The 11,870-nt window shown below is 48.3% G+C and overlaps 1 annotated feature.

Moving 5' to 3' along the window:
- Positions 11,166-11,355: an enhancer, noted in NCBI's record as "active region_15295". NCBI's record gives its function as "activates an Ori minimal core promoter by ATAC-STARR-seq in GM12878 lymphoblastoid cells {active_cell/tissue: GM12878}" and the evidence as "EXISTENCE:reporter gene assay evidence [ECO:0000049][PMID:35858748]".

An 11,870-nucleotide genomic window follows, 5' to 3' on the forward strand; every position in this document is an offset into this window, starting at 1 on the left:
TTTTTTTTTTTTGTTTTTGTTGTTGTTTTTTTTTTTTTTTGAGACAGAGTCTCACTCTGTTGCACAGGCTGGAGTGCAGTGGAGTGATCTCGGCTCACTGCAACCTCCAGCTCCCGGGTTCAAGCGATTCTCCTGCCTCAGCCTCCGGAGTAGCTGGGATTACAGGCACGCACCACCACGCCCAGCTAATTTTTGTATTTTTAGTAGAGACGGGGTTTCACCATGTTGGCCAGGCTGGTCTCCTGACCTCAGGTGATGTGCCCGCCTCGGCCTCCCAAAGTGCTGGGATTGCAGGCGTGAGCCACCTCACCCGGCCAACAACTCAGTTTTAAAATCTCAAGCTACTACTGACTGGTAAGAAAGAAAAGCAACCTCTTCAAATGGCAAGAGCCTCTCTACTAACCCCTGTAGAATATAAAAAGAAAATCATCTGGGTGAGCACGGAAGTCCTGTTTTTAGGGCAAATTTTCTGTGGGTTATAAATAAGCAGTTCTTAGCGGAAGGTCCCCCACACTGGACCTGGGAGGCCCACACCACTTTACCCTTGACCCAGGCACACTGATGTCGGCAATAAAGGATGTGACATGCCAGAAGGAGCTGAGGTTCCTGGTGACAGCTGTTGCCAAGGTAACAGCACGCCAGGCTGCAAACAGGTAGAAACAAGAGGCTCTTCTTACTCACTTCGGAAATTACCAGGAAGCTGATTAAATCTTCTTAGAATCACAGATAGGAGCAGAGAAGCCTTCTTCTCAGGAAACTCACAGCGCAAAGCCACCCTTGCTGGGCTGGGAAAAAGAAGCCTGGGTTCTCATGTCTGTGCCGTGATTGCAGGCACTGCTTACTCTATTGGACCTCAGATACTGTGCAGTTTTTACAAATTGAAGGTTTGTGGCAATGCTGTGTCAAGCAGGCCTATCGGCACCATCCTTCCAACAGCACCTGCTAACCCTGTGTCTCACGCCACCTTTTGGTAATTCTCGCAATATTTCAAACTTTTTCCTTATTATTATATCTGCTCTGTTGACCTGTGATCAGCAACCTTTGGTGTTATTTGATGTTACTACTGTAATTGTTTTGGGGCACCATGAATCGTGCCCATATAAGATGGTGAATTTGATTAATGAATGGCATATGTTCTCACTGCTCCACTGACCAGCCATTCCCCCATCTCTCTCTCTCTCACTTCTTCTCTTTCTCCCTCTCCCTGGTTCTCCTTATTCCCTGAGACACAACAAATATTGAAATTAGGCAAATTAACAACCTTACAATGGCCTCTGAGTGTTCAAGTGAAAAGTCAGTCTCTCACTTTACTTCAACAGCTAGACATGATGAAGCTAGTGAGGAAGGCACACTGAAAGCTGAGAAAGGCTGAAAGCCTGGCCTCTTGTGCCAAACAGCCCAGTTGTGAAGGCAGAGAAAAAGAAGTTCTTGAAGGAAATTAAAAGTGCTACTCCAGTGAACATATGGATAATAAGAAAGCAAAGCAGACTTATTGCCAAAAGGGAGAAAGTTTTAGTAGCCTGGATAGAAGCTCAAACCAGCCACAACCTTCCCTGAAGCCACAGCCTAATCCAGAGCAAGGACCTAACTCTCTATGAAGGCTGAGAGGGGTGAGGAAGCTGCAGAAGAAGAGCTTGAAGCTAGTAGAGGTTGGTTCGTAAGGTTTGTATTAGTCCGTTCTCACACTACTGTAAACAACTACCTGAGACTGGGTAATTTATGAAGAAAAGAGGTTTGATTGACTCACAGTTCCACAGGATTAACAGGGAGCATGATCAGGAGGCCTCAGGAAACTGACAATCATGGCAGAAGGCGAACGGGAAGCAAGGGCCTTCTTCACATGTTGGCAGGAGAGACAGAGCCGGGGGGAAGTGCCACACACTTTTAAACCATCAGATCTCATGAGAACTCACTCACTATCAAGAGAACAGGAGGGGGAAAATCTTTCCCCATGATCCAATCACCTCCCACCAGGCCCCTCCTCCAATTCGACATGAGATTTGGGTAGGGACACAAATCCAAACCCTATCAAGGTTGAAGGAAAGAAGCCAGAACATAAAAGTGCACAGTGAAGCCGCAAGTGCTGGTGAAGAAGCTATAGCAAGTCATCCAGAAGATCCAGCTACCATCCTTGATGAAGGGGGCTCCACCAAACAACAGGTTTTCAATGTAAATGAAACAGCCTTCTATTAGAAGAAGATACCATCTAGGACTTTCATAGCTAAAAAGGACAAGTCAATGCCTGGCTGCAAAACTCTGGAGGACAGGCTGCCTGCCTTGTTAGGGGATAATGCAGCTGGTAACTTTAAGTTGAAACCAATGTTTGTTTACCATCCCAAAAATGCTAGGGTCATTAAGAATTATGCTGAATCTACTCTGTCTGTGCTCTGTGAATGAAACACTCAAGCCTGGATGACAGCACCTCTGTTTACAGCATCGTTTATTGACTATTTTAAGCCCACTCTTAAGACCTACTGCTCAGAAAAAAAGATTCCTTTCAAAACATTACTGTTCATTGACAATGTACCTAGTCTTTGATGGAGATACACCAAGAGGTTTGATGGAGATGTACGGGAAATTAGTGTTGTTTTCATATCTGCTAACACAACATCCATTCTGCAGCCCAAGATCAAGGAGTAATTTCAACTTTCAAGTGGAATTAGTTAAGAAATCCTTTTCATAAGGCTATAGCTGTCATAGCTGCCATAGATAGTAAATCCTCTGATGGATCTGGGCAAAATATACTGGAAACTTTCTGGAAAGGATTCACCATTCTAGATGCTATTAGGAACATTCATGATTTATTGGAGGAGGTCAAAATATCAACATGAACAAGAGTTTGGAAAAAGTTAATTCCTCCCCTTGTGGATGACTTTGAGGGGCTCAGTGGATGAAGTAACTGCTTCATGTGGTGGAAACAGCAAGAGAACTAGATTCTAAGCAAATAAATGTGGGAACAAAAACCACATACTGCATGTTCTCACTTACAAGTGGGAACTAATTATCGGGTACTCATGGACATAAAAGTACTAATGGATACTGGGAACTACTAGACGGGGGAAAGAGGGAAGGGGACAAGTGTTGAAAAATGTTGGGTATTATGCTCAGTGCCCAGGTGACGGGATCAGTCATGCCCCAGACCTCAGCATCATGCAAAGTACCCAAGTAACAAACCTGCACACGTGGCCCCTAAATCTAAAAGAAAAGTTGAAAAAGAAAAAAAGAGAGAGAACTAGAATAAGAGGTGGAGCCTGAAGCCGTGAGTGATCTCATGATAAAACTTGAGTGGATGAGGAGTTGCTCCTTATGGATGAGCAGAGAAAGTGGCTTCTTGAGACAAAATCTCCCCCTGATGAAGACACCATGGACATTGTTGAAATGACAACAAAGGATCTGGAATATTCATTCCCAAGTAGCTGGGACTACAGGCGTACACCACCACACCTGGCTAATTTTTGTATTTTTAGTAGAGATGGGGTTTCACCATGTTGGTCAGGCTAGTCTCCATCTCCTGACCTCAGTGATCTGCCTACCTCGGCCTCCCAAAATGTTGGGATTACAGGCATGAGCCATTGCGCCCAACCACATATGTGTAAATTAATGTACATTAGGTTTTTTAGACACAATGCTATCAATACTCTTGTACACTTAATAGACTCTGGTACACTGTAAACATAACTATTATATGCATTGGGAAACCAAAAACATCGTGGGCCTTACTTTACGATACTTGCTTTAGTGCAGTAGTCTGGAACTGAACCTGTAATATATCCAAGGTATGCTTGTATTTGCTGTGTTCCTTTAGAAAATTACTTTTTCTCTGTTTCTCCAACTGGAAGGATTATATTAAACCTGGGGAAAGGCCCTTGAAGGACTCCATGGCACCCTCAGCGGACACTGTGGGCCTGAAAATGATATTTATTTTTTTTTTCTAGGGAACTCTTCTATTGTATACAATTTTTAAGCATTTAAGTGACAAAGAATACTATAAGCAGAATAATGTTTATTTTTAAAAAAGAAACTTAAAACAAGAAAGTAATGGTAGGAAAATGTTAACTCCTTTAGCCTATGAATTTGTTGAAAAATGAATAAAACTACTGATAGGTTCAGTTAGGAGTATCTTTTGGGTTTTTTTTTTTTGGTACGGTTTGCAAAACTCTTTTGAGGTAAATATTAGGGTGTTTTATGTAGTTCTGATAACAGTGCATAGCATATAGAAATGTTCTTTATGGTTTCTCCTGTCTCCATCTGGGCATGTCAAAGTTCAATTATGGTTTAAGCCATAGAGGACCTTTTATCACTTCTCGGCCTTTTGGCTAAGATTAAGTACAACAGTGGATCTTTTGTCTCAATCAAATTACCATACTTAACTATTTCATTCCAGAGGGCCAATGAAAAAAATGTATTTACAAGGATTATATTAAAATCATCAAGTACATGGGCCAGGCGCAGTGGCTCATGACTGTAATCCCAGCACTTTGGGATTCTGAGGCAGACAGAAGGATTCCTTGGGCACAGGAGTTCGAGACCAGCCTGGGCAACATAACAAGACCCTGTATCTACAAAAAACAAAAAAGTTAGCTGGGTGTGGTGGCACATGCCTGCAGTTCCAGCTACTCAGGGGGCTAAGGCGAGAGGTTCTCTTGAGCCCAGAAGTTTGAGGTTACAGTGAGCTATGATGGTACCACTGCACTTCAGCCTTAGCGACAGAGCGAGACCTCATCTCTTTTTCAAAAAGTTATCAAATATATAAAGAACACTATTTTAGGAAATACAGTTTTGTTTTTTTGAGACAGAGTCTTGCTCTGTCACCCAGGCTGGAGTGCCGTGGTGTGATCTCGCCTCGCTGCAACCTCCGTCTCCCAGGTTCAAGCGATTCTTGTGCCTCGGCCTCCCAAGTAGCTGGAATTACAGGCATGCGCCACCACGCCCAGCTAATTTTTGTATTTTTAGTAGAGATGGAGTTTCACCATGTTGACCAGGCTGGTCTTGAACTCCTGACCTCAGGTGATCCGCCCACCTCGGCCTTCCAAAGTGCTGGGATTACAGGCGTGAACCACCGCACCCAGCTCAAAATTACTTTTAAAGGGAAAAAACAGGCAAACATCCTCTGCTGCGGGGCCAGCTGCTGTGAACGCTGAGTTATGCCTGCATGTGGCTCTGGGTCTGAGAACCCTCACAGCTTGGCCCACCTCCTCCCTGGGGACCTGATGATGCCCAGGTCCCCAGTCATCCAGGGCCGTGCAGGGACAAAGGGCCCTTCGGGAAATGCTAGAACTTAAACTCCGCTTCCCCCAGTTTCTCTCTACTGCAGTCACTTTCATTTCTTAGTTTAATGAGCTTTTTCTCCGTGGAAAGAGCTGCCAGCCACCTTTTTTTTTTTTTTTTTTTTTTTTTTTTTTTTTTTTTTTTTTGAGACGGAGTCGCTCTGTCGCCCAGACTGGAGTGCAGCGGCGCGATCTCGGCTCACTACAAGCTCCGCCTCCTCCAGCCACCTTTCTTGAGTGGTTTCCGTAGGAGGAGGCGGTTCCCTCCAGGTTCTTCCCAAGGTCTTGGGCATCTTTCTGCAGAGTCGCGCTTCTCGGGTGTGTGGCTGACGCTTTCAGGCGCACTGGAAAGTGTCTTCTCCATTTCTAAGCAGTAAATTTCCTCTTCGATGACTTTTCTGCGAGTTTCTCCTGATGTTCTTATGGAGGGCAGGCAGGTTGGGGAGTTTCGCCTAAAGCCTCTGAGTCTCACTTGCAAGCTGTGGCCTTGCAGACTGCAAAGATGCTGGCTCAGTTTGCAGACTCTTCATTTTAACTGGAAGCGCTTCGTTTGTTTGATTTTCTTCACGTGGCTTTTATCTGGCTTTTCTCCCTCAAGCCTTCTTAAAGAATCGTCTAAGCTAACCGCATTGATCGTTTCTTCAAATCATTTTCTGACGGATTGTCTTGGTCTCCATTTTCCAATGCCCTCTTTCTGTCTGATTCCAAGCTGCGATCTTCTCTAAAGCGAGCATGACAGCTTATCTCCAGCACCGTTCAGTCAGAGGTCTCTACGGGCTCTCTGTCACCGCATCCTGTCCCATGTGTATGTTCTGGTTTCCAAGCCTTCTCTCCGTGCCTTCATGCCTTCGTTCCTGTCCTCTCGCCTTCTGTGCTGTAGTTGCTGGGGAGAACAGTTGGTATGATCTGGATGTTTTTTGGGGTTGTTTGTTTTTTGAGATGGAGTTTTGCTCTGTTGCCCAGGCTGGAGTGCAGTGGCTTGATCTCGGCTCACTGCAACCTCTGCCTCCTGGGTTCAAGTGATTCTCCTGCCTCAGCCTCCCAAGTAGCTGGGATTACAGGCACCAGCTACCACGTCTGGCTACTTTTTGTGTTTTTAGTAGAGACGGGGCTTCACCATGTTGGCCAGGCTGGTCTTGAACTCCCGACCTCAGGGGATCCACCCACCTCGGCCTCCCAAAATACTGGGATTACAGGTGTGAGCCACCGTGCTCGGCCTGATCTGGATGTTTCCTCCCTGCAAATCTCATGTTGAAATGTGATCCCCTGTGTTAAAGGTGGGCCTGGAGGGAGGGGTTTGGGTCTTGGAGGCGGATCCCTTATGAATGGCTCGGTGCTGTCCTTGCAGTAATTACTGAGTTCTCACTCTATGAGTTCCTACCAGATCTCATTGTTTAAAAGAGCCTGGCCTCTCCCCTCTCTCTCTTGCATCTGCTCTTGCCATGTGACACACTAGCTCCCTCTTCACCTTCCACTATGACTGGAAGCTTCCTGAAGCCTCACCAGCAGCAGATGCTGGCATTGTGCTTCCTGTTCAGCCTGCAGAACTGTGAGCCAAATAAACCTCTTTTCTTTTTTTTTTTTTGACAGAGTCCTGCTCTGTCACCCAGGCTGGAGTGCAGTCGTGAGATCTCAGCTTACTGCAACCTCCACCTTCTAGTTCAAGCAATTCTCCTGCCTCAGCCTCCCAAGTAGCTGGGATTACAGGTGCCCGCCATCATGCTTGGCTAATTTTTTTTTTTTTTTCAGTAGAGACAGGGTTTCACCATGTTGGCCAGGCTGGTCTCAAACTCCTGACCTCATGATCCGCCTGCTTTGGCCTCCCAAACTCTTTTCTTTATAAATTACCCAGCCTCAGGTATTCCTTCATAGCAATGCAAAAGGAACTAATTCAGCAGTTTCAGGTTTTCCTGAAGAAGAGTGAAGATGAAGGTTTTTAACCAAACCATTGGTATTTTCTTTAGAAGTCATTCCATATTATTCGGAGATGCTTTCAGGATGTGTTTGGCATCAGTCACTTGGGATTTGTGGGATTTCAATGCATCATTCAGGGGTCCTGTCTGTGCACCAAGGTGAGTCCACGTCACCACATGGAATGAAGGTTTGGGGGTCATTATCTATTTTTTTTCTAGAGGTTCTCCCTCATCATCAAGTGAAAAGGCAGAACTGCCACATGTTTATCAAGTGCTGCCAAGAGTTTGTAACTTCAGGGGCCTGACCTCCATGGCAGGGGATCGTGGGCTCCCCACCTGTGGCATCGCTCCAAGCTGCTCCCTGACTTGACTCTTCGACTCAGGCGGAAAGTCTCTTGGCTAGTTCTTTTTCCCTTTTTAAAGTATGTCTGGTCTTTACATAAAGTCAATCATAGCAGCATTTACCAGAATCTTCCAAGCAAACCTAGAGCCCTGAGCCTCATCTTTCAGACCACGCCAGCAGAGCATGGCACAGCAGCCCCAGGCCCAGCTGGAAGGACACACACTGGCCGTCAGCAGGCCCTCCTCAGCAACAAGGGGCCCCGCAGCTCTGCCCGTGTTTGCCAGTGTCCTATTGACTACAACTGACCACATGGAAGCCCAAACAAGTGCCCAGCCACCAGGGCAGTCCGCCATGGGCTGGAGAGCGGAGGCCAGGCTCCATGAGCCCGTGCCTTCTTGTCGCTTACTCTGGCCACTGCTCAAATGGACTGTGATCCCATGTCCAGCACCCTGGGGTAGTGGGAAAGGCCGAGGCAGCTCAGGCCCTCCTGGGCCTCCAGGAAACCTAAAGGAACAAAGCAGGGCCCAGCCAGGACCCCTTGTGTGCTCAAAAGCTCGTGAGGGCATGTGGAGGGCACGGAGGCCGCCTAGGGGACTTGAGTGCCACATCCCCAGGTGAGGGTCCTCCTTCTCATGTTAGCTGTCTCCTGCAGGCCCAGCCTGCCTACAAGGTCATAGGACCCTCTTTAAAGTCCCCTCTCTCTCTGCCCCCTGTCCTTGTTCCTGAAGGCCCCTCCCTCATTTGTGTCTGCTTATCTGCTGGGCAGGGGCAGAGGACCAAAGGGCCTCACAGAAGGCCTACTTTTCACTCATGAGAAATAGGGAGAACCATGGAACAGGCCATGTCTCAAGGTTTTATGGATGTTCAGTGGAGCTGCTTTGTCCCCATTCAATCTAAGCATTCCTGAAGGGGAGAGGAAATTCTCCTGGGTGTAACCACAACCAGACCCCACCAGGTTTTGGGCATGCAGTTTCCCCGGTTGCCTGGGGTCCACAAGGGCGCCAAGTCTTCAGAAGTGTGCTCTGTGGAGTGGCTGTCCCAGCAGTGGGGACTTCTTTCCACTGAACTTGTCATCTCGTATTTGTCTTTTTTTTTTTTTTTTTTTTTGAGACAGAGTCTCACACTGTCACCCAGGTTGGAGTGCAGTGGCATGATCTCAGCTCACTGCAACTTCCACCTCCCGGGTTCCAGCGATTCTTGTGCCTCAGCCTCCCAAGTAGCTGGGATTACAGGCACGCACCACCACACCCCAGCTAATTTTTGTGTTTTTAGTAGAGACGGTGTTTTGCCTTATTGACCAGGCTGATCTCCAACTCCTGACCTCAAGTGTTCCACCTACCTCGGCCTCCCAAAGTGCTGGGATTACAGGTGTGAGCCCGGCCCACCTCTTATTTCTTTAAACAACATCTCCCTCTCTAGGCCTGTCTGGCGGGCTCAGCTCAGAGCCCCCTTGCCCATCACCTGCCCATCTGCAGTGATTTCCCCTTGGGTCTGGGGGACCGGATAGGCACCTGGAAGCAGGACACAGGTCCCTTGGGATATCAGGGACTGTCCTAGAGGGGAAGAATGAGGGGACCAAATGCCTGATGGGGAGCCAAGAGGTCTTGGAAGCCAGATGAGGCTGCAGCGAGGACAGGCCACACTGCCGTAGCCCCCGCTCCCTGCACCTGCACTCCGCAGCCCTGCTCCTGGCCTCTGGTGGAAGAGCTGGCCTTTGCTCAGGCTGTGGTTCCAGGGCTGGCAGTATGGTGATCAGTTTTATATCAGGCTTCTGCTCAAGATTTCATCTGAACAAATGTTTACTCAGCGACAAAAATCAGTCACCACTGAACAGGACACTTGTAAACATGGTTAAACTGGTAAATCCTGTGTGTGTGTGTGTATATATATGTATATGTGTGTGTGTATATATATATACATGTATGTATACATATATATATACGTGTATAGATACACGTATATATATATACACACACACATACATTTTGCCACAATAAAAAAAAATCAATCAATCAATCAAACATCAGACCAGGTCATCTCTAAGACTCTAAGGTGCTCAGATTCTACACTGTAAGGTCTAAGATGTCACCTTTGGCCAGGTGCGGTGGCTCATGCCTGTGATCCTCCACTTTGGGAGGCCGAGGAGGATTACTTGAGGTCAGGAGTTCAAGACCAGCCTTGCCAACATGGTGAAACTCCATCTCTACTAAGAAAAATACAAAATTTAGCTGGGCATGGTGGCAGGCGCCTCCCAGCTACTCAGGAGGCTGAGGCAGGAGGATCACTTGAACCTGGGAGATGGATGTTGCATTGAGCAGAAATGGCACCACTGCACTTCAGCCTGGGTGACAGGGTGAGATTGTCTCAAAAAAAAAAATGCATGAAGAGAGGTGGAGAGGGACATTTTGGCAACAGCAGCCAAAAATCAGAGAACAGCCCTTATCTTATGTTTTGTTGTCTCCAAATGCAGTCTCCCAAATAGGATGAGAAGTCAAAGGACTAAATATATACAAAGGTTAAATCCAAGTACTTATATAACAAGGTGAGAAGGATTTTTTAAAAACATCTCTTTAGCAACTGGCACCAGAATTCTTCTTGGCAAGGGAGAGAGGAGTGTCTTTGTCCAGAAAATACTGTGAGTGGCGCCTGGTGTGGGTGACAGGTCAAGGCTCTGGGCCTCCAGGACGGTGGGGGCTGTTCTGCATAAGACCAAGGGGACAATCTGCTATTTTTGTTCCTAAGCAGGGCAGGGGTAGAGGAGGCCCCTGAGATGGGGGAGGAGGGTAACAGGGGGAGACAGAGCACGGGATGATGGAGAAGGCTGGGCGGTGGGGAAGAGCCCTCAGTACTGGGCAGCTGTGCCCACTGCACAGTGTGGAGGTGGTCAGTGCTGCCCAGGGAGGTCTTCTTGTCAGGAGAGAAGCACTGAGAGGGGCTGAGATTTACACCTGGGCAGAATTCCTGAGGGAACAGAGCCCAGAGGCTGCAGCGGTCCTGGGAACTCGGCAAACTTGGGCAAGACTTTGAGCCTTCTCCAGCCGTGGAGCTAGGAGGGCTGAGTGGACACAACCCAGGTTTCCAGGGTCCAGGCATCTGAGTGACACCTAAAGAAGGTAGGGACAGCCCAGGCACAGTGGCTCATGCCTGTAATCCCAACACTTTGGGAGGTCGTGGTGGGTGGATCACTTGGGGTCAGGAGTTCGAGACCAGCCTGACCAACATGGTGAAACCCATCTCTAATAAAAATACAAAAATTAGTTGAGTGTGGTGGCACACACCTGTAGTCCTAGCTACACAGGAGGCTGAGGCAAGAGAATCGCTTGAACCCAGGAGGCAGAGGTTGCAGTGAACCGAGATTGTGCCACTGCACTCCAGCCTGGGTGACAGAGCGAGACTCTGTGGCAAAAAAAATAAAATAAAAGGTGGTGGGGACACAGTGCCCTGGGATTCCCATGGAAGATGATCTTCCGCTGCCTAACCAGCCCCCAGCCAGACCTGCGAACCTGGCTTCGGGATATACAAGCCCTTGGGGGAAGTGAGGGCCCCTCCCCAAAAGGGGAAATCCTGCCTCGCCTTGACCACCCTCAGATGGCTTTGTTGTTTCCAGAGTGGAGAAGGGGGGACCCTCTGGACATAGGGGGTTTCCCAGGCTCTTCCGCACTGCGGACCTGCTTCCTCCTCAAAAACATCCGGACAGCCCAGCACAGCCGCAGCTGTGCTCAAAATAACCTCACAGCAAGGGCTGGCAGAGCCTCCTCAGTTAAAAATAACCTGCAGTGGCCGGGCGCGGTGGCTCACGCCTGTAATCCCAGCACTTTGGGAGGCCAAGGCGGGCAGATCACGAGGTCAGGAGATCGAGACCATCCTGGCAAACAGTGAAACCCCATCTCCACTAAAAATAGAAAAAATTAGCCAGGTGTGGTGGCACGCACCTGTAGTCCCAGCTACTCAGGAGGCTGAGGCAGGAGAATTGCTTGAACTGGGAGGCAGAGGCTGCAGTGAGCTGAGATGGTGCCACTGCGCTTCAGCCTGGGTGACAGAGGAGACTGTCTCAAAAATAAATAACCTGCAGCTGCTGCATCCGGACAGAGCTCGGGGCCCCCACAGGACTCATGCTCTCCATGAGGGGAAGGCCTCCCTGCCCCCTGAGGCTAAGGGACAAACAGCACACGCGGGGCTTCCTAGGTGCCAGCTGCTGCTCTCAGTTAAACTCTGCATCAGCCCTGTGAGGTGGGCACTGACCTTCCTTGGCTCTATGTCCCCACCCAAATCTCATCTTGAATTGTAATCCCCACGTGGGGAGGGTGGGGGGTGACTGGATCATGGGGACAGTTTCCCCCTGCTGTT

Source organism: Homo sapiens, chromosome 2 (assembly GCF_000001405.40).
Source record: "Homo sapiens chromosome 2, GRCh38.p14 Primary Assembly".
Taxonomy (NCBI): domain Eukaryota; kingdom Metazoa; phylum Chordata; class Mammalia; order Primates; family Hominidae; genus Homo; species Homo sapiens.